We start from the raw sequence: 24,343 nt of genomic DNA, 5'->3' as shown, positions 1-24,343 counted from the left end.
AATTAGTAGATAAAATTCTTTTATATTTGATGTGCCTTTGACTAAAAACAAAATATATACATTGGAAAAACTAACATGAAACAAAACCAGTTACTGCTGTGAATATTATCAGAAATTAGTAAGGATACTCTAAAGATGAAACAGAATGTTAGATTTCTTCAAGTTGAAATCTATTAAGCTAATAAAGGATTTCAGTGGAGTTTAATTTAAGTCATTAGTAAAGTTGCCATTTCTTAGGCAGCTTAAATATTAAAGAGCCAAAGAAAGAAATAGACAATGTATAGAAAAACTTTTAGATGTGAAAATGATTCAGTTTAATCAAACACAATTATTAAAGCATTTTGGTTACACTGAATGACTCATGAAATATAAATGATATAATTCTTTGTATACTGATAGGCTAATATAAGTTATTATGCATCACTTTGGAACTACACATCACCAGAAGTAAATTCGTCTACTTGGTGGGATTAAGAAAAATGTAGATACTCACTAAGGCTAAAAGAAAAAATGTTCAGTATCTCAATCTACACTCTAGACGATAAGGGAAAAATGCCATTTGTATTAATGAATTAAAAAACTCAAACATAATCAAATTTCATACATTTATAAATATAACTTCAAGGATTATAAATATTATAAATTAACATTCTAAATGGTAACTCTTTGAAATATTGAGACATGAGTAATTGAACAGAAAACATTTAAATACATGTGAAGCAATAAGGCAAAAGACAAATGTGCAAATATGTTTGTGTCTGTATGTTTAATTGAGTACTCAAAAATCAGAAAGTAAAAAGTTAAAATAAAACTTGTGATGCCATTATAATATTCACTGAACTGTGTATATTAAAAATACTCTAGATTTTACATTTGAAAGCTCTGATAATACAGCACGACATTTTCAGAAAAGTTATTCTAAATCTTATGTTAGCAGATAGAAACAATTTAGTTGAGTGGAGATATATAGATTGTTATGGTTCTGTCTTTGTAGGGCTTCCCTCTTTTGTGTGTTTTTGTGCGTATATGTGTTGTGTGTATGTGACAGAGCCTTGCTCTGTAGCCCAGGCTGGAGTGCAATGGCAATGATGACAGCTCACTGCACCTTCTGCCTCCTGGCCTCATGCTATCCTCCTACCTCAGCTTGCTGAGTAGCTGGGACTACAGGTGTGTGCCAGCATGCCCAGCTAAATTTTGTATTCCTTTTAGAGACAGGGTTTTGCTATGTTTCCACAGCTGGTTATGAACTCCTGGGCTCAACCTATCCACCTGACTTGGCTTCCCAAAATGCTGAGATTACAAGTGTAAGCCACCATGCCTGGCCTAGGGCTCTCAACATTTTTAAAGACAATTTTGTGGATTATATCTAAAAAGGTTTACTCTATCTATCTATCTATCTATCTATCTATCTATCTATCTATCTATCATCTATGTACCTACCTATCTCTATCTACCTACCTACCTACATACCTTCCTACCTGTCTGTCTGTCAACATTTGTTCATCTTCTATAAAAGTAATCTACTGTAAAATTACATGTATGTAATTTTAGGGACAATTTGACATACAAACAAATAAAAATCCTTAATGAATTACTCTAAGAAGAATGAGTGTTGCCTTAACAGTGGAGAATGGGAGAAGATGTCCTCGCTGGTAATTGCAGCTACACTTACCTTTATGAGCTCACTAGCCTTTATAGTTGTTCAAAATCTACATTTGTTTAAGATATTTCAGGAAATGACATTGTCGTAATTGCCCTGATCAAATCAAGGAAAGTTTGGTTTAGCAAGACTTTTGGACACTTTCCCTGCAGCAGAGGTTATTATTCATTGGTGATTTCATATAAAAATATTGAAAGCTAAAAGATAGATATTTCCAGCTCAGCAAAGCCAAGGAGGGAGAAGATTCTGCATTCTTTTTCAAGGTCACTTTAATTGTCTCTGCTCCATGACTCACAGCTTAAGGTTTGTAAACTCTAGTTTATTCAGGGTCAAATGTGTAAAGCTTAAGTGATTTTTGAGATCATAACACCAGGGAATCATAAAAAGATGAAGTGCTTCCTTTTGGCTCCTGCAAATTAACAAAAAATATATTTATATTGCATGATATTTGAGGTCAGGATTTTCAAAGTCTCATAAACCTAACCCACTGCTGCCTATCATTTTAATCTTGAAAAAATGCTTTTCAATAGTTTATAATTAAGTTGGTGGGCTGATTTGATTTTGGAACTGTGATTTGAGTTGAAAGTTTGCTTTCTCTCTGGATATAGTACCAATGAATTTAAAACAGTTAATGAGCTAAGTACAAACATTGCTCTTTTCTGCTCATTAAAGGCATCACTATTATCATATACAGTGTATCTCAGGGAAAGGGTTATCATTTCAGTATTATTTACTTAGCCTCTACATAATAGATTCAACCTCAGAACTGCAAAGAAAAATTAATAGATAAGGTTTAAATTAGGTGTACCAATAGTTGATAGAGAAGAATCTTTCCATGAAAAAGGTTTCACCTGTTAAAGGAAGTTCTGCTACCAGCCTGTTTCAAAACAGCTTGAATTTTCAGCAATATAAACATAATCATTTTTCAAATTAGGCTATACATGGTTAAATCAGTCCCATTCCATTACACTGTGTGGTCCGTGTAAGAGGTGTGTAATAGTGACTTGAATTACAATGTGAAAACTATGTTTTATTTTAAAACTTTATTATATTATTTTTCCTAATGAAATGTAGCAAATAAAATCTCCATGACTTGATAGAAAATGACACAACTGGTCAGCTCAACTCCTGAAGCACCTCCAGGATCCAAGATAATTAATTTGAGAACCAGACTCTCATCACATATCAGTATTTGTCTAATATTCTTGTTTAGGGTAAATTAAATTCTGACTCATTCGTGTAATAAACAAACAAGCAAAAAATCCATTCAATCCTCTCCTTATGCTTCACTTAACCTGGAGCATTTTGATGTTTTCACATAAGGAGAATAAATTAAGAAATCTTTGTTTTATGTTGTTTAAACAAAATGATTTTAAATAAAAGTTGCATTTTATCTACTGTTTTCCCCCAACCGCTTCTAAGGTCCAAGATTAGAGATATTTGAATAAGCCCAGAGTTAGTATATACTACAAAAGTTATAATGCAAGCATGAACTAAAAACCAAGTCAACTAAAACTGATACCCAGAGAAATTAGGTAAAACCTCATTTAACTACTAAGATAATATTATCTCATTTGCTGCATTTACTTGTAAATCTTGGTTACAGAATCCTTAACTGGAACTAAATATGGATTATAAATGTGCTACCCTGATAGGTTGAATACCGTTGCCAAAATCTGCATTGCAATAAATTGTTAAATGTGAACTATCAAATTCAAAAAATAATTGCAGTTTCATAATTATCCTAAATGAAGAGCTTGATTTATATCAAGACATTTAAAACTTGATAAGTGAATTAACATATAGATACAATCACAAATCATTATTATTTTTATTTATTTAGTTTTTTGAGATGCAGTTTAGCTGTTGTTGCCCAGGCTGGAGTGCAATGGTGCAATCTTCAGCTCACTGCAAACGGGTTCAAGCAATTCTCCTGCCTCAGCCTCCCAAGTAGCTGGGATTACAGATGCCCGCCACCACACCCAGCTGATTTTTTTGTATTTTTAGTAGAGATAGGGTTTTACAATGTTGGTCAGGCCATCTTGAACTCCTGACCTCAGGTGATCCACCCGCCTCAGGCTCCCAAAGGGCTGGGATTACAGGCGTGAGTCACCGCGCCCAGCCCCACAACTCATTATTAAACAATTATTTTATATGATCCCATTATTGTAAAAAGTTTCCATCAAAATGGCAATAGTTCTCAAGTGCTGGAATTACATACGGTTTTAATTTTTGATCTTGTAGGAGGAAGTATATCTTGGCATTCTGGAAACAAAATGTCTCTTTAAAAAGAAAGAACAGACTTCCTAGAGTCCTATATTTAAGGACGATGAATGTATAAGGCATAGTTTACTGGGACATAGAATACAGGCAGAAATTATATTTCTTAAATTTAAGAGTAAATATAAGTATACATAGAAGACAATACACATGTAAGCATATGATTAGAGACCAGATTCATGCTCCACAACTGATTCTGACTGAAAACTGGTCAGGGAAAGATGTTTTAGAAACATTCATTGAGTTTATCTGAGTTTTGAAAGATAAAGAAGAAATTGACAGAAAAAAGTAGGAAGGAAGATGTTTCATGTTAAGATTGAGAAGGAAACATGGTCAAAGTAATAGTTTGAAAGCAAGTACGGGTGAGCATATCTATGTGTCTGTGTGACTAACAGCGAAAGAGAGAAAGATCTAAAGAGACAGAGTAAAAGAGAGAGAGAGAAGAGAGAGAGATTGAGAGAGAGAGAGAGAGAGAATTCTGTGGAGATAAATTAAGTGGCTCTTGGATACAGTAAGCATGATTAGGCCAAGGACATATTTTTAAATGTGTTTCTTTGCTTCTCAAAGTCAGAAATCAGAAATAGTTTCATTAAGTAAAATGCATTTGGAATTTATCATAATTATCCTGCAAAAGACAATAACTATAAATACAACTTAAAAGCCCAATGAGCTTCTTGTTGTCAAAAAGTATGATCATGGGACTCAGGGATTCTTATTTATTGTACCTATCAACTTCTTCCTATTTATTATATAAAATCCAACAGATACAACATCTTAGAAGTAAAAATAGCATTTAGAGGTCAGCTGAGAATAAAGAACACCTGGCTGTTTCCTCAAGTAAATACGTATGCAGCACCTGTGCCAGGCTCTTAAAAATGATCCATGCAGGGCATTAAGAATAGTAAGACTCAGACCTTGTCCTCAAAGGACTTTCTTCCTGATCCAGAAGCTGCCACTTACTTCACATGTCTAGGACTTCATTATAGAAACTTTTACATTGTCTGGAGCTACATTTATATTTTTAGGCCAGGTATTCAGATACATGTATCAGATTTTTATTTCTTTCAAAATATGCAAAAATACTCAACAATTTAACACAGATACTTGATATGCCTGCTATGATGTCATATGAGTAAAGAAAGCAAGGTAATTTGATGGTTTTCTCCCATTGCACATTCTTCCATGTCCTAGGCTTTTCAAGTGAGAGTGTATACCTCTTATTCAAACCTCCTATTTTTCATCTATTACAAACAAAAGCAAAACAAAACAAAATATTAAACCAGTTAAGATACTCAAGGCAAATTCTTATGTGAAATTTAATTTGCTTTTATTTTATATTAAAACAATGCAAGAGAAAACAATATTACTACTATTTTAATTGGTTGAAGTGGCAGATTTGAGAAAAAAGGAAAATGTGTATATACTATTAGTAACATTTTAAACCTTTCTCCAGAAAAGTAAAAAAAAGAAAGAAAGAAAGAAACAAACAAACAAAACAACTGGCATACATATATCTCCTAAATACAGGAAGAAGTATTCATAATCTCACTCTTTAGCATGGTACAAAGCTAACCACAACTAAATTATTGTATATAAAGCCACGTGAAGTGGTGTGTGACAGCCTTATTTTGTGAATAGGGCTGAGAAAACCAGTTCAAATTCTCCTGAGACTATTTCAGAGGAGTTAAATTTGAACTCGTTTAAAAATCATGATTTATTTACTTAATATTAAGTTTAGATTAACGGACAGAAAAAGAGGAGCCTGGGGCATCACCAAAATATAGCAATTTTTAAAACAGTATACAAATAAACATGTTGTATAGTCACTTAAGATCAGAGGGCCCAAGAGAGACCCTTGATGGTGACTTCTATTGGGAGGACTATGACCAAATATAACAGCTTGCTTGACACAAAATCACCTACAGTTAGAATTTTGCTCCATTACTTGGGTGTCTCTCTTTACAAATCACTTAAAATTTAACAAACCAAAGGAGACTGTAGAACCATGACATAAAGGAACATAGGTTCAGCAGAATAAAGCAACAGCCTTCTCATGCATCCCATAGGTATCTTTTCATCAAGAACTACTGAAAAAAGTTTTCATGTGTTACTCTCTTTTTTTCAATACGCAGACTCTTTCCTTCTGCAGTGAATTATGGGCTGCCCTATAATAACAATTTAATAGTTTTACAGGAATGAGATTATTTAAAAAGCACAGTTATTCTATGCTGCATGTATTAAACTGACACGTTTACTTTCTTTGACCACAGTTACTTGTGTGTATGTTAGATGAGTTTCAATATTAGCTACATTATTCTTGTCATAAATTGCATTTTACTGAGTACACAGGCCATCTTCTTAGAGAAAGAGACAGTTGTCAAGATTAAATAGCTTTCTTTCTCTCTATGGGATTTATTAATTTAAAAACGAAAAATGCTTAGCTTTTGCTGAAGGCTCACTATTGAGCCTTCATTGAAAATGAAGTTACATTGAAAATGAGCTACATTGAAAATGTAGCAAAATATTGAGTGATATAATATGTTTTTGAATCAAGAGCCTCAACTCCACATTGCCGCCAAAAAAAAAAAAAAACAACCAAACAAACAAACAACATTGACTAAGCATGGCATGGCAATTGAATTGCTTTACAAAAACAACTTAAGTTTGAAAATTCTCGAGATAAACAAGCCTGACCAACATGGTGAAACTCTATCTCTACTAAAAATACAAAAATTAGCTAGGTGTGGTGGTGCGTGCCTGTAATCCTAGCTACTTAGGAGGCTGAGCCAGGAGTGTTACTTGAACCCAGGAGGCAGAGGTTGCAGTGAGACAAGTTCGCACCACTGCACTCCAGCCTGGGCTACAGAGCGAGTCTCTGTCTCAAAAAAAAAAAAAAAAAAAAAAAAAAAAAAGTTTCAAGATAGAAAATCTCCTGTAACTGGTGGCCATTGATAAGCTCAGCAGTTTTTACCAGTAGGAAAAATAACTTGCCTGCCTACAACTACAATATTTCTTGTAAATTTGTCTGGTTCAGACTTTAGTCTGCATATTAATTAAATGTATATAAGAACAATGAAGGAAAAGCATGGGAGAATGAGGGGAACTGGAAAGAAAGGAGATGTAGGGGAAAGAGCAGGCGAAGAAGAAGAAAAAAAAGAGTTCCTTCCATTACAGCCAATTAAAGTGTAATTTACTCTTGCAAAATGATACACGGTTAGCACCATATGATTTTCAAATTTGCTCACAGTGATGAAGGGCTATGGAATCCATGTAAATAATTTAACAGTAACCATACTAGCAAGAAATGCTTTATTTGGCTTTTGCTTCTTAAAGAGCCTTCTTTGATTTTATTTTCATTTTGTTTGTGGATAATTGTCAATGAATGGAAGACAATTTGAGGAAGAACCCATCACAGTCTTCATACATAATCTAAAATTCATGTGTCCTATCCTAATTAACTAATGTGAATGACAATGCTAATTTTTGTTCAAATAAAAATTTTAAATTTTAAATTAAAGTCTTATAGAAACAACAGCAATACAAGATTATGGTTCTTTTCCTTGCCGAATTTAACCATCATTAATATTTTGACAGTCAGAAACTTAAAAGATTTCTGGGACAGTTAAATTACAGCATGTTCAAAAGGCAAATGTATTCTTGCAATTCTAAGAATTTTATATCCTCTGTCTTTAATACTACTGCACTGTTATGTTTACAAATTATATTTTGAAAATACATTTAAGCATACGTTGACAGGTATCTGCCTAAGTGCACTATTTTGAGCATTTCTTTTCTCTAGAAAAATAAACATGTAATTATTAAGTTTCAGCACTAGAGCCAGGAAAAAGAGCACAAAATTCCAACAAACAGCTGATTCAAAATTTGCATGGTACTTATAGAACTAATTGAAAGTATTGAAATGCCTACAGATGGAGTAAATTATAAAGATATTAAGGAAACAAATGTGTTCTCTTTCAACCATCTATATTTTATTAAATTTATTGAAAAGCAACTAGAGAGAAAGTAATGTAAATTAGAGGCATCCCTTTTCATTTGTGGAGAACATCTAGATTTTAGGTGCAAGGTAAGACATATATCAGAAAATCTTGTAGTAAATCCAACAATCCTTACAGTAAAAGGAGAACCTAGGCCAGGTGCAGCGGCTGACGCCCGTAATCCCAGCAAATGGGAGGCCAAGGCAGGTGGATCACGAGGTCAGGAGTTTGAGACCAACCTGGCCAACATGGTGAAACCTGGTCTCTACTAAAAATACAAAAATTAGCTGTGCATGGTGGCAGGTGCCTGTAATCGCAGCTACTCGGGAGGCTGAGGCAGGAGAATCACTTGAACTCGCAAGGTGGAGTTTGCAATGAGCCGAGATAGCACTATTGCACTCCAGCCTCGGCGACAGAGTGAGGCTCTGTCTCAAAATAAAAAAAAGGAAAACCCAGTGTGTTAGATTGAGTGATAGCTGGGTGGCTTAGAGATGGATTCATAAGTTCTAAATTTTCATTTCAAAATATATGATAGAATTTTCCCATTTTCAAATTTCATATTTATATTCACTCTATTTTATTTATTCTGCTTTATCCAAAGTATAATTATATAATATTTCTATTCATGCAAGTTCTATCTTTGAAGAATTATTTTGCTTTAAATTGTTAGCTCAAAAAAAGGAGTTTCTGGCAATAACGAGGTATTCAGAGTAAAGAGAGACAGCCCTGGGGGTAAAACAGTTCAAATTTGTGTGGCTCTTCTTTTTGAAAGGAAAGTAAGCCTCTCATGAATTCTGGGCTTTAATCAAAAGTCACAAAGATCTAGATCTACAGTCATTGCATTTGCAATTTTCAATAAATATACCTCATCTGCTTTCAGAATATAAATAATTTTAATGGACATTCAGCTCCCATTTTGTAGAATAACTTGCATAGAACTATGTATGTTAGGTAATGCATATATTAAGTAGTTTACTTTGATATTTCACGATATATACATATATCAAAACATCAAGTTAAGCACCATGAATATATACAATTTTTACTTTTCAAATAAATAAATAAAGGGGAATACATAAAATATCTTTTGTTTAAATGTGTTTTAAATTTTATCTTGACAAAAAATAAGGGATAATTGAGGCTATAAAAAACAGCTGAGGTATAAACTGTAGAACAAAAATTTCAATAGTAAAGCAGTGTTAAAGTTTTAGAGAAGATTAGTTTGTAGTGAGTAGCCCTAGTTGCAAAGTGGCTGGAGTTAGAAAAACTAGAGGAAATGAATAAATTCCTGGAAACATACAACCTCTCAAGATTGAACCAGAAAAAAAAATGGGAATCCTGAAGAGATCAATAACAAGTGGTTACATTGAATCAGTAATAAAACTCTCCCCACAAAAAGAAAATGCTAAGAACCAGATGGATTCGTGGTTGAATTCTACCAGATGCACAAAGAACTGGTATGAATCCTACTGAAACTCTTCCAAAAAAATCCTAGCTAACTCATTTTACAAATCAGTATCACCCTAATACCAATGATAAAAAAGGACATAACAACAAAAAAGATAACCACAGACCAATATTTCAGATGAACATATATGTCAAAGTCCTTAACAAAACACTAGCAAGTCAAATCCAACAACACATCAAAAAGATAATACACTGTGATCAAGTGGGATTTATTCTAGAGGTGCAAGGATGGTTTAAGATATGCAGATAAATAAAAGTGATTCATCACATAAACAATTAAAAACAAAAACCATATGATTATCTAAATAGATGCAGAAAAGGCATCTGAAACAATTCAACATCCTTTCATGATAAAATTCCTCAACAAACTAGGCATAGAAGGAACACACCTCAAATTAATACAAACAGAATGGGACAAATCCACAGCCAATATCATATTGAATGGAGAAAACATAAAAATATTTTCCTAAGAACTGGAGCAAGACAAAGATGCCCATTCTTACCACTCCTATTCAACATAGTACTAAAAGTCCCAGCCAGAGCAATCAGGCAAGAGAAAGAAATGAAAGACATCCAAATTGGAAAACAAGAAGTCAAATTATCTCTATTTGCTGATGATATAATCTTATATCTTGAAAAATCTAAAGACTCTTCTAGAAGACTCCTAGGGCTCAATAAATAAATTTAGTAAAGTTTCAGGATACATGTATCAGTAGGATTTCTATACATCAATAAAAATCAAGCTGAAAACCAAATCAAGAAGTCAATCTCATTTACAGTAGCCACACACACAAAAAATAAAATACCTAGGAATTGATATAACCAACGAGGTAAAAGATCTCTGCAAGAAAATCTACAAAACAGTGATGAAAGAAATTGTAGACAACACAAACAAATGGAAAAATATTCCATGCTCATGGATCAGAAGAATCAATATTGTTAAAATGACCATACTGACCAAAGCAATCTATACATTCAATGCAATTTCTATCAAAATATCAACATTATTTTTCACAGACTGAGAAAAAACAATCCTAAAAACAATTTAAGGAGGAATAAAAGAACACAAATATTGAAAACAATCCTAAGTGAAAAGAATAAAACTGGAGATATTGCATTATCTAACTTCAAATTACACTAGAAGGGTATAGTAACCAAAACAGCATGGTACTGCTATAAAAATAGACACATAAATCGATGGAACAGAATAGCAAATCTAGAAATAAAGTCACACACCTACAGCCAACTAATCTTTGAAAAAATTGACAAAAACATACACTGGGGAAAGGACACTCTAGTAAATACTTCTGAGAAAAGTGGATTGCCATATGCAGAAGGATGAAAATGGACCCCGATCTCTTACAATATACAGAAATTAACTCAAGATGGATTAAAGACTTAAATGTAAGACCTCAAACTGTAAAAACCCTAGAAGAAAACCTCGGAAAAACTCCCCTGGACACTGACTTAGGCAAAAATTTATATCTAAGACCTGGAAAAATAAATGCAACAATACCAAAAATAGATAGATGAGATTTAATTAAACTAAAAACCTTCTGCAGAGCCAAAAAAAATAATAAACGGAGTAAACAGACAACCGGAATGGGAGAAAATATTTGCCAACCATGCATCCAACAAAGAATTAATATCCAGACTCTGTAAATAACTCAAACAACTTAATGAGGAAAAAATAAAACAACTCTTTTAAAAAGTGGGCAAAGAACGTGAACATTTTTCAAAAGAAGACATGCAAGCAACTGACAAACAAGTAAAAATGCTGAACATTACTAATCATCTAAAAATGCAAATTAAAATATAATGAGATACCATCTTATGCCAGTTAGAATGTGCAAAAAGGCAAAAAAACAACAGATGTTGGTGAGGATGTGGAGAAAAGGTAGCATACTCTGTTGGTAGGAATGTAAATTAATAAATCTCTATGGAAAATAGTATAGAGATTTCTGGAAGAACTAGAAGTAAAACTACCATTCAGTCCAGCTATGCCACTTCTGAGTAATACCCAAAAGAAAAGAAATCATTATACCAAAAAGATATTTGCAATACTATGTTTATCATAGCACTATTCTCAATAGCAAAGATTTGGAATCAACCTAAGTGTCCCTCAATGGATGATTAGATAAAAAGTCATATATTGCATTAGTCCATTTTCATACTGCTATGAAGAAATACCTGAGACTAGGTAATTTATAAAGAAAAAGAGATTTAAGGGATTCACCATTCCACATGGCTGAGGAGTTCTCACAATCATGATGGAAGGTAAAGGAAAAGCAAAGGCACATCTTACATGGCAACAGGCAAGACAGCATGTGCAGAGAAACTGCCTTTTATAAAACCAGCAGATCTCATGGAGACTTATTCACTATCATCAGAAAAGCATGAGAAAACCTGCCCCCATGATTCAATTACCTCCCACTGGGTCTCTCCCACTACACGTGGGGATTAGGGGATTATGGGAGCTACTATTCAAGATGAGATTTGGGTGGGAACCCAGCAAAACCGTATCATACACACACACACACACACGCACACACACACACACACAATGGCATACTACTTAGCCATAAAGAATGAATAAAATGACTTCCTTTGCAGCAACTTGGATGAAACTGGAGGCCATTATCTTAAGTGAAACAACTCAGAAAGTCAAATATCAATGTTCTCACTTATCATGGGAGCTAAATAAGTACACATGGATGGAGAGTGTGGAATGATAGGTACAGGAGACTTGGAAGGGCTAGAGAGTGGGAGGGATAAAGAATGAGAAAATACTTAATGGGTACAATGTATATTATAAGGTGACGGCTACACTAAAAGCCCAGATTTCACCACTATTCCATATATTCATGTAACAAAACTGCACTTGTACTCCTTAAATCTATAAAAATTTTTAAAAAGAAATTCCCCATACAAATTCTATTTTAAGATTTAAGAATATTGCTTCAGTTGTACATTTTTTTTTAGTGTAAGAAAATCAGAAGTTTTCTGGAGAAAAAGTAGATCTGCCTAGAAAAATATATATGTACAAAATCCTTGAAATTGCAAAAAAAAGTCAAAGGATTCATGCCGCCCTTTGCCCTCTGACATTCCTCCCAGAGACACAGGTTAGGAACATTTTCATCCTACCTTAGTGCACCATGCACCATCTCTAAGCAATAAGTGTCTGTTTAATGCCTGGAGTTGATTGGAGGAAATACATAAAGTAAGTAACTGTCCCAGAGGGAAGAAAAGTTTCTGTCATAATGGTAACATGATTAATTCATCAAAAAACAATCTAAAAATACATGTCCCACAAGAAAGTATTTCACAAACCATTTTGAAAAAATTGACAGTACTGTTTTATTTTATTTTATTTTATTTTATTTTATTTTATTTTATTATTATTATACTTTAAGTTTTAGGGTACATGTGCACAATGTGCAGGTTAGTTACATATGTATACATGTGCCATGCTGGTGTGCTGCACCCATTAACTCGTCATTTAGCATTAGGTATATCTCCTAATGCTATCCCTACCCCCTCCCCCCGACAGTACTAAGTTATTAATGCATAGTTGGAGATTTTTATCTTCCTCTTCTGGTAATCAATAAAACAAGAAGATGAAAAATACATAAGAATACAGAATCTCTGAAAATACCCTCACCAAACTTGGAACTAACCACAAAAAAAAATGAATATGAGACTTCTTCAAGATGAAAAAAAAAGTCTGCTTTGGAGAGGGCACAAGAAATAACAGGAAAATGCATACTATAGACTAGAATTTCTACAATTAAAGAGATTGAAATACCAAAAGTAGTCAAGGATATGGAGCAGCTAGATCTAACATATGTTGCTGATCAGAGTAAAAAATGGTGCAACTACTTCCAAAACCATGTGGCCTGTGGTCCTTAATGTTAAACGATACCTATATTACCACCCAGCAATTCACATAAGATACATATTATGTATATTCTCCCAGGGTAAATTGAAAACAAATATCTACAAAAATATTGTACAAGAATATTCTTATCAACTTTATTTTATAAAAGGCAAAGAGTGAAAATAATCCAACTGTCATGAACAAATAAAATGATAAAATAATTTAAGGTTTTGTCATACAATGCAATACCACTCTGCAACAAAAAGTAGTAAATTACTGATTGAAAAACATGCATGAATCTGAGATATTTTATTAAGTGAAGGAAGCTAGACACAAAATCATATATACTGTATGATTCTATTCCTATAAATGAAAAGAACAGGCAAATTTAAACTATAAGGACTGGAATTTTTAAAAGCGCTTACTTTTAAGTTCGTTTTGCCGGAAAGGGAGCACATGAGTAATTTCTGGGGTGATGTAAATATTCTGTGTTAATATACCTTGTCAAAACTCCTTCAGCTGTACAACTAAAATTTGTATTTTTTGTTGTTGTTGTTACATTTTCAAGTATATATTCTTTATTATTATTATTATACTTTAAGTTCTCAAATATCTGTGCAGAACATGCAGGTTTGTTACATAAGTATACATGTGCCATGATGGTTTGCACACCCATCAATCCGTTATCTACATTATGTATTTTTCCTAATGCTATCCCTCCCCTTGCCCCCTAACCCCCGTCAGGCCCCGGTGTGTGATGCTCCCCTCCCTGTGCCCATAAGTTCTCATTGTTCAATTCCCACTTATGAGTGAGAACGTGTGGTGTTTGGTTTTCTGTTCCTGTGTTAGTTTGCTGAGAATGATAGTTTACAACTTTATCCATGTTCCCGCAAAGGACATGAACTCATTGCTTCTTATGACTGCATAGTATTGTGTCGTGTATACATGCCACATTTTCTTTATCCAGTCTAGTATTGATGGGCATTTTGGTTGGTTCCAAATCTTTGCTATTGTGAATAGTGCTGCAATAAGTATACGTTTGTGTGTCTTTCTAGTAGAATGATTTACATTCTTTTGGGTATATACTGAATAATGGGATTGCTAGATCAAATGACTTTTCTAGTTCTAGATCCTTGAGGAATCGCCACACTGTCTTCCAGAATTATGGAACTAATTTACACTCCCACCAACAGTGTAAAAGCGTTCCTATTTCTCCACATCCTCTCCAGCATCTGTTGTTTCCTGACATTTTAATGATCGCCATTCTAACTGACGTGAGATGGTATCTCATTGTAGATGTAATTTGCATTTCTCTAATGACCAGTGATGATGAGCTTTTTTTTTCATATGTTTGTTGGCCGCATAAATGTCTTCTTTTGAGAAGTGTCTGATTCATCCTTCACCCACTTTTTGATGAAGTTGTTTGTTTTTTTCTTGTAAATTTGTTTAAGTTCCTTGTAGATTCTGGATATTAGCCCTTTGTCAGATGGATAGATTGGAAAATTTTTCTCCCATTCTGTAGGGTGCCTGTTCACTCTGATGATGGTTTCTTTTGCTGTGCTGAAGCTCTTAGTTTAATTAGATCCCATTTGTCAAGTTTGGGTTTTGTTGCAATTGCTTTTGGTGTTTTAAGTCATGAAGTCTTTGCCCATGCCTATGTCCTGAATGGTAATGCCTAGGTTTTCTTCTAGGGTTTTTATGGTTTTAGGTCTTTGTTTAAATCTTTAATCTATCTTGAGTTAATTTTTGTATAAGCTGTAAGGGAGGGGTCAAGTTTCAGTTTTCTGCATATGGCTATCCAGTTTTCCCAACACCATTTATTAAATAGGGAATCCTTTCCCCATTGCTGGTTTTTGTCAGGTTTGTCAAAGATCAGGTAGTTCTAGATGTGTGGTGTTATTTCTGAGGCCCCTGTTCTATTCCATTGGTCTATATATCTTTTTTGGTACCAGTACCATGCTGTTTTGGTTACAGTAGCATTATAGTATAGTTTGAGGTCAGGTAGCATGATGCCTCCATCTTTCTTTTTGCTTAGGATTGTCTTAGCTATATGGGCTCTTTTTTGGATCCGTATAAAACTTAAAGTAGCTTTTACTAATTCTGTGAAGAAAGTCAATGGTAGCTTGATGGGAATAGCATTGAATACATGAATTACTTTGGGTAGTATGGCCATTTTCATGATATTGATTCTTCCTATCCATCAGCATGGAATATTTTTCCATTTGTTTGTGTCCTCTCTTATTTCCTTGAGCAGTGGTTTGTAGTTCTCCTTGAAGAGGTCCTTCACATCCCTTGTAAGTTGTATTCCTAGGTATTTTATTTTCTTTGTAGCAATTGTGAGTGGGAGTTCACTCATGATTTGGATCTCTATTTGTCTGTTATTGGTGTACAGGAATGCTTGTGATTTTTGCACATTGATCTTGTATCCTGAGACTTTGCTGAACCTGCTTAACAGCTTAAGAAGTTTTTGGGTTGAGATGATGGGGTTTTCTAAATATAAAATCATGTCATCTGCAAAAAGAGATAATTTTACTTCCTCTCTTCTTATTCCTCTTGCTTGATTGCCCTGGCCAGAACTTCCAATACTATGTTGAATAGGAGTGGTGAGAGAGGGCATCCTTGCCTTGTGCCAGTTTTCAAATGGAATGCTTCCAGCTTTTGTCCATTCAGTCTGATATTGGCTGTGGGTTTGTCATAAATATCTCTTATTATTTTGTGAAATGTTCCATCAATACCTAGTTTATTGAGTGTTTTCAGCATGAAAGGGTGTTGAATTTTATCAAAGGCCTTTTCTGCGTCTATTGAGATAATCATGTGGTTTTTTGTCATTGATTCTCTTTGTGATAGATTACATTTATTGATTTGCATATGGGAAACCAGCCTTGCATCCCAGGGATGAAGCCGACTTGATCATGGTGGTTAAGCTTTTTGATGTGCTGCTGGATTTGTTTTGCCAGTATTTTATTAAGGATTTTTGTACCAATGTTCATAAGGGACATTGGCCTGAAATTTTTTTTTTGGTTGTGTCTCTGCCAGGTTTTGGTATCAGGATGATGCTGGCCTCATAAAATGAGTTAGGGATGAGTCCCTCTTTTTCTATTGTTTAGAATAGTTTTAGAAAGAATGGTACCAGCCCCTCTTTGTACCTCTAGCAGAATTTGGCTGTGAATCCTTCTCGTCTTGGACTTTTTTTAGTTGGTAGGGTATTAATTACTGCCTCAATTTCAGAACTTGTTATTGGTCTATTCAGGGATTTGATTTCTTCTTGGTTCAGTCTTGGGAGGATATACGTATACAGGAATTTATTCATTTCTTCCAGATTCCTTGGTTTATTTGCATAGAGGTATTTACAGTATTCTCTGATGGTAGTTTGTGTTTCTGTGGGATCAGTGGTGATCTCCCCTTTATCTTTTTTTATTGTGTCTATTTGATTCTTCTCTCTTTTCTTCTTTATTAGTCTGGCTAGTGGTCTATTTTGTTAATCTTTTCAAAAAAAAAACATCTCCTGGATTCATTGATTTTTTGAAGTGATTTTCATCTCTATCTCCTTCAGTTCTTCTCTGATCTTGGTGTTTCTTGTCTTCTGCTAGCTTTTGAATTTGTTTGCTCTTGCTTCTCTAGTTCTTTTAATTGTCATGTTAGGGTGTCTATTTTAGACCTTTCCTGCTCTCGCTTGTGGGCATTTAATGCTATAAATTTCCCTCTAAACAGTGTTATAGCTGTGTCCCAGTGATACTGGTACATTGTGTATTTGTTCTCATTGGTTGCAAGGAACTTACTTATTTAGGGCTTCATTTTGTTATTTACCCAGTAGTCATTCAGGAGCAAGTTGTTCAGTTTCCATGTAGTCGTGTGTTTTTTAATGAGTTTCTTAATCCTGAGTTCTAATTTGATTGCACTGTGGTCTGAGAGACTGTTTGCTATGATTTCCATTATTTTACATTTGCTGAGGAGTATTTTACTTCCAAGTATAGAGCCGATTTTAGAATAACTGCTATGTGGTGCTGAGAAGAATGCATATTCTGTTCATTTCGGGTGGAGAGTTCTGGAGATGTCTATTAGACCCACTTGTTCCAGTGCTGAATTCAAGTCCTGAATATCCTTGTTAATTTTCTGTCTAGTTGATCTGTCTAATATTGACAGTGGGGTGTTAAAGTCTCCCACTATTATTGTGTGGGAGTCTGTCTTTTTGCAGGTCTCTAAGAACTTGCTTTACGAATCTGGTTGCTCCTGTATTGGGTGCATATATATTTAGGATAGTTAGCTCTTCCTGTTGCATTGATCCTTTACCATTATGTAATGCCCTTCTTTGTCTTTTTTGTGCTTTGTTGATTTAAAGTCTGTTTTATCAGAGTCTAGGATTGCAACCACTGCTTTTCTGTGCTTTCCATTTGCTTGGTAAGTCTTCCTCCATCCCTTAATTTTGAGCTTATGTGTGTCTTTGCACATGAGATGGGTCTCCTGAATACAGCACACTGATGGGTCTTGATTCTTTATCCAATTTGCCAGTCTGTGTCTTTTAATTGGGTCATTTAGCTCATTTATATTTAAGGTTAATATTGTTTGTTAAGTGTGAATTTGGTCCTGTCATTATGATGCTAGCTGATTATTTTGCCCATTAGTTGATGCAGTTTCTTCACAGTGTTGACAGTCTTTACATTTTGGTTTGTTTTTGCACTGGCTGGTACCAGTTTTCCTTTCCATATTTAGTCCTTCCTTCAGGAGCTCTTGTAAAGCAGGCCTGGTGGTGACAAAATCCCTCAGCATTTGCTTGTCTGGAAAAAAAATTGTATTTCTCCTTTGCCTATGAAGCTCAGTTTGGCTGGATATGCAATTCTTGGTTGAAAATTATTTTCATTAAGAATGTTGAATATTGCCCCCCCTCCCACTCTCTTCTGGCTTGTAGGGTTTCTGCAGAGATATCCACTGTTAGTGTGATGGGCTTCCCTTTGTGGATAACCCAACCTTTTTCTGTGGCTGCCCTTAACATTTTTTCCTTCATTTCACTCTTGGTGAATCTGATGATTATGTGTCTCGGGGTAGCTATTTTCAAGGAGTATCTTTGTGGTGTTCTTTCTAATTCCTGAATTTGGATGATGGCCTGTATTGCTAGGTTGGGGAAATTCTCCTGGATAACACCCTGAAGTGTGTTTTCCAACTTGGTTCCATTCTCCCTGTCACTTTCACATACACCAATCAAATATAGGTTTGGTGTTTTCATATAGTCCCATATTTCTTGGAGGCTTTTTTCATTCCCTTTCATTCTTTTTTCTCTAATCTTGTCTTCACAATTTATTTCATTAAGTTGATCTTCAATCTCTGATATCTTTTCTTCTGGTTGATCAATTCGGCTATTGATACTTGTGTATGCTTCACCAAGTTCCCATGCTGTATTTTTCAGCTCCATCAGGTCATTTATATTCTTCTCTAAACTGGTTAATCTAGTTAGCAATTCGTCTAACCTTTTATCAAGATTCTTAGCTTCCTTGCATTGGGATAGAACATGCCCCTTTAGCTTGGAGGAGTTCGTTATTAGCCACCTTCTGAAGCCTATTTCTGTCAATTTGTCAAACTCATTCTCCGTCCAGTTTTGTTCCCTTGCTGGCAAGGAGTTGTGATCCTTTGGAGGAGAAAAGGCATTCTGGTTTTTGAATTTTCAGCCTTTTTGGGCTCGTTTTTCTTCGTCTTCATGAATTTATCTACCTTTGGTCTTTGCCATTGGTGACCTTCGGATGGAATTTTTGGGCGGTCCTACTTTTTGTTGATGTTGATGTTATTCCTTTCTATTTGTTAGTTTTCCTTCCAACAGTCAGGACCCCCTTCTGCAGGTCTGCTAGAGTTTGCTGGGGGTCCATTCCAGACCTTGTTTGCCTAGGTATCACCAGCGGAGGCTGCAGAACAGCAAAGATTGCTGCCTGCTCCTTCCTCTGGAAGCTTCATTCCAGAGGGGCACCCGCCAGATGCCAGTCGGAGCTTTCCTGTATGAGGTGTCTGTCGACCCCTGCTGGGAGGTGTCTTCCAGTCAGGAGGCACGGGGGTCAGGGTCCCAATTGAGGAGACAGCCTGTCCCTTAGTAGAGCTCAAGCACAGTGCTGGGAGATCCACTGCTCTCTTCAGAGTCAGCAGGCAGGAATGTTTAAGTCTGCTGAAGCTGCACACACAAGTGCCCCTTCCCCCAGGTGCTCTGTCCCATGAGATGGGAGTTTTACCTATAAGCCCCTGACTGGGGCTGCTGCCTTTTCTTTCAGAGATGCCCTGCCCAGAGAGGAGGAATCTAGCGAGGCAGTCTGGCTACAGCAGCTTTGGGTCGCTGTGGTGGGCTCTGCCCAGCCAGAACTTCCCTTCAGCTTTGTTTATACTGTGAGAGGAAAACTGCTTACTCAAGCCTCAGTAATGGCAGACGCCCCTCCCTACTATCAAGCTCGGGCATCCCGGGTGGACTTCAGACTGCTGTGCTGGCAGCAAGAATTTCAAGCAAGAGGATGTTAGCTTGCTGGGCTCCGTGGGGGTGGGATCTGCTGAGCAAGACCACTTGGCTCCCTGGCTTCCACCCCCTTTCCAGGGGAGTGAATGGTTCTGTCTCGCTGATGTTCCAGGCACCACTGTGGTACAAAAAGAAAAAAAAAATCCTGCAGCTAGCTTGATGTCTGCCCAAACAGCTGCCCAGTTTTGTGCTTGAAACCCAGGGTCTTTGTGGTATAGGCACCCAAGGGTATCTCCTGGTCTGTGGGTGGCGAAGACCATGGGAAAAGCCTAGTATCTGGGCTGGATAGCATGGTCCTTCACGGCACGGTCCCTCATGGCAGGGTCCCTTATGGCTTCCTTTGGGTAGGGGAGGGAGTTCCCCAACCCCTTGTGCTTCCCCACCCTGCTTCTGCTCGCCTTCTGTGGGCTGTACCCACTGTTTAACCAGTCCCAATGAGATGAACCAGGTACCTCAGTTGGAAATATAGAAATCACCTACCTGCCTTCTGCGTTGGTCTTGCTGGGTGCTGCAGACCGGAGCCGTTCCTATTTGGCCATCTGCCCGGGAAAAAACGTATTTTTTTTATATATAAATAATACCTTAAAAAGTCCCATCTGGAGTCATTAAGAGAGTATCAGTACTCTGGAAGAGTTTCTAACTGTAAATTGTCTCTGTCGCTCCTTTTTTAGTTTGGCTTATAGGAAACATAAAAACTTATGCATTCTCTCACCATTTAGCCTCTTCCAGACATTGAAACAGGTCATTTCAGAGGTCCGGAGACATTAAAAACAAACAAACAACAAGGTTACACATATCCCAGAACCTATCTGTCATCTCTGGCTCCTTATACCCTAAAATCAAACACCGGTATTGGGAGGGCTCTGTGACTGAGACAGCTCCAGTCTAAGGGCAATGCTTGGTGACTATTTCCTTCTTGATATTTTGATTGTATTTCAGTTCTTTGTTCTCTGTTATCTGCGGAGTTCATGTTCAATACAATTAGCGCTGGAGAAAAACGTGTTGCTTTTGGTAGGAAAACAAAACAAAACAAAACAAAAAACCTTTGTCCCTGCACACAGGAAGCAGTCCTGAGATTTCCTCCAAAAGGCCTTTGCTGCTGTAGTGTGTTAGAGTCCTAATCATAGAAACTCTAACCGAGGAAGGAAATTCAGAGTTCACTGAGTGCCTTTGACCCCTGGTGGTTCGCAGTAGGACCCACCTTACCCGGACACCGCCCCTGGGCTCAGGTCACTCAGGATCCTGGACTCACCTGGTGCTGAGGACCAGCGCGGGCAGGAGAGGCAGCAGGTAGGGCACTGGGCTGAATTTCATGCTGCTGCCCGCCGGGCCCTCGTTTCCTCGCTGCCTCTCTCCAGCTTCCTCTGGGTTCTGTCACTTCTCGGTGTCTACCTGTCTCCGGCTAGCGCTCAGACCTCTCCGAAGGTGGACAGACTGAGGCCGACTAAGGGACTGAAGCCTCGCCAAGAAAGGAGCTGGGCACAGGGAATCAGCTCCGGGAGTGGTGTGTTGGCGGCCAGGGAAGGCCCTGCGGGGCTTGTTCCGCGCCGCAGCTCCAGAGCCAGAGACCGGGTTGTCACTCGCGCTGGAGGCGGGGAGGGCGGGGGTGTCCGGCGATCGCCCCGCCCCCGCGCGCTGAGGTCACAGGGCTACACATTCACTTCAGCTTGATCCTTTAGTCCCGCTTCTCCCGAGGATTCGGAGGGGCGGGACGGCCAGCACAGGAACTCGTTTACTTTGGCAGGAAGTGAGACTGAATTCACCAGGAAAAACTCTCGAATGTTTTGAGTCGCAGGCAGATGTCCTGTCGCAGGCGGATGTCTGTCACCTGATTACATAGCGTTTGAAAAAAAAAAAAAGTTTTAGAAATGGCATTTGAAATCTTAATTTGATTAAAGAGTCAAGGTGATCCGCCTGAGGCAGACACTAAAGGGAGTGATGAAAGACGATAGCAGGAGTGAACAGCACCCAGAAATGTACTCTTGCACTTTTGAGGCTATAATGGCACTTGCCAACTCCATAACGCGGGTCCCTTTCCTCAAGTGAGACTCAGCACGTGAAAAGAATTGAATGAAAATGCATCAGTAATTGACTCAGAATGGCCGGGATTGGATGATAGGAGTTATTATGTTTTGTATATTTTCTATTTAGATTTCCTATAAGAATGAGGCATTTGGTGGTCTTTATTTTGAAAAATAAAATTTGAAAAATAAATCTCATTAAAAAATTCAAATTGTTATTTTTGAAGCAAATATACCTAATCTCCTTTTTGAAGCTTTATTATAAAAAGAAGCAGTTTTTGTTCTGGTGTGGTGGCTTATGATAACCCAAGATATACCAGAACAAACTATTTTTTTTTCAGATTTGTTCACATAAAGTCTGTCCATAGTGTGCCATTGCATTGGATACTCATAAATCACTCCGAAATTATTGGGCCTGTTGTTCATTTCCTGAAAGTAGAAAAATACCATCTAATTTAGAAGGTCAACAAGCACATCTTGAAAAATGATCTGAAGTGATACTTTGAAATTTTTTGTAATTTTAGCGGATTGAAGAATTATACCCTCGACTCTGGTACAGCTTTGTCTCTTAGCAGAAGTCTTCTTTTCTTGGGGCATTATAAGGCCATAACCTTTCATCATCCATGACAGTCTCACTGTCTTATCATGGGGATATGCAAATCCATAATTGACTTTATGGCTTCAAAGAGTTAGTACAAAAGCTTTAAAGATCCAACTGTTAAGCAGATACTTAGCACTACAGCATTTGTACTTTACTTAATCAAACATTGCTGAGCAACAGCTCTTTGCAAAACTTAAACCCTATCCTGGATGAATGACATCAGGAGAATCCATGCAATCACGCTAAGAGTCCAGGCTAATAGGATTGGGAATCACAGAGGCTAATTGCATCAAGAAGACTTTCCTTGTAAATAACTTACCCTGTGGAATGTTATTTTTTCTTGGGTAAACTCTGAATATGTATAATGAGTTTGACCTTAGTTTTTATACACCTATTCTCTTTACCTCTTCTCTTACAATGAACTCTATTCATTCTCCTAATAAACACTTATTAAAAACCTAAGTACCATGGGTTTTAAACAGAAGTTCCACTTTACTTGGAATTTAACTCACTGTGGTACTTGCTAAATTCTACTGGATTGGAGATTCTCCAGATGATTTTTTTCTCATTAATTTTCAAGGACTGATTATGTTCTTTCACCAGGAGCACTAACTTCTATATTCTTTTTATATTTAAGATCTTTTTAATGACTACATAAAGAAGAGAAAGAAACTCATTAAAGTTTTCTAACTTTTCCAAAGTCATAAAGCAAAAAGACAATAGAGTCTGACTTTAAGGCAGATCAACCCAATTTTTCTTTACATTTTTTTTCTTTAAAAATTTAAGAATGTTGAGTGTGTGTGTGTGTGTGTGTGTGTGTGTGTGTGTGTATGTGTGGTTTAGCCTGAGGTCAATAGTGTATTAATACACATTATTCCACAATACACAATTAATATATAATAATTCACTATAGTATATCCTCAATAGCAGTAAATTGTCCCTTTCTGCTAAGACTACAAACTTCAAAAATTATCTAGATAGACAGAAAGATAGATACAAATATAAAATATTTAGACAAAATATACAAATAAAAACATCTAAACAGATTAGAGACCTAAATTCATTACTCATTTTTCCAAAGTTCTTAATTATATCAATGTATATCAACTGTTATATGCCAAGTGTTAGAGCTATAATACCTGCTACTAACAATCAAGCTACACACTAAATGTGATATCTAAGCTTATGCTGTTCTGATTTTAAATGTTTGCAATAAAATATGGTGATATAAAATTTCATAAGTTTCCCCCGCATTAAAACTGCCTATTTTTACATTTTATGGTGGAACTATCTTGTTTGTTTTGTTTTATTTTGCTTTTTTAATTCACTAACTTTGAAAAATCAACAGTGTGAGAATAGCACCAAAAAAGATGTGAATACTCACTGTATCAATTTTTTATTGATAAGATATATTTTTGTGTCTGTGACATTTCCTCAAAGGTCCAGACCAACAAATGTAAGAGAGAGCTAGATGACTCATGAAACCTGATCACTCAAACACGCCTCTGCACATACCATTGAAATCAAAGCTGAAGTCTCCAGGAAAATCCCCACCAAAGTTGGCTTCACACAAAGATAATTATCGTCAACTACTTGACTCTCAAATAGTTTTAGCAGAGTAAGAAAGAGGTAAGTTAGTGTAATGTATGTGTGCATATGTGCATATACATCCATATGTACATGTTTATGCATTTATAATGTGTGTATATATGTATATGTATATTATGGTCGCTTAATATATATTTATTATTTTTCTCTTGTTTGCTTAGGGTACATTATCCTACTTTCAAAATACACACTGGTTTTCTCTTGAAAAAATATAATTCTTATTTTCATCAGTCCTTATGTTTTAAATGGGATTAAAAACACTGCTAACTCTTAGTGGCACACTTATGTCTCAAATCTGACCAATTGGCATATTCTGTCTCAGGTTACAAAGATAGTGTCAGGCACAGACT

General features: G+C 36.2%; 1 long non-coding RNA gene across 2 annotated transcripts; it reads right to left on the bottom strand.

The window, feature by feature from the left end:
* Positions 1-1,926: 1,926 nt before the first annotated feature.
* On the bottom strand, positions 1,927-22,915 carry LINC02726 (long intergenic non-protein coding RNA 2726). Of its 2 annotated transcripts, none has more exons than XR_931129.2 (3): positions 21,016-22,915; positions 20,244-20,302; positions 1,927-2,069 (listed from the first exon to the last, which is right to left on the bottom strand). It is a non-coding gene; the product is annotated as a long intergenic non-protein coding RNA 2726 (long non-coding RNA). The 2 variants fall into 2 exon arrangements; XR_931128.3 differs by lacking the exon at positions 1,927-2,069 and adding an exon at positions 16,189-19,881.
* Between the last annotated feature and the right edge of the window lie 1,428 nt (positions 22,916-24,343).

Source organism: Homo sapiens, chromosome 11 (genome assembly GCF_000001405.40).
Source record: "Homo sapiens chromosome 11, GRCh38.p14 Primary Assembly".
In the NCBI taxonomy this organism is placed as follows: domain Eukaryota; kingdom Metazoa; phylum Chordata; class Mammalia; order Primates; family Hominidae; genus Homo; species Homo sapiens.
This window is presented reverse-complemented; position numbering and strand designations above follow the sequence as displayed.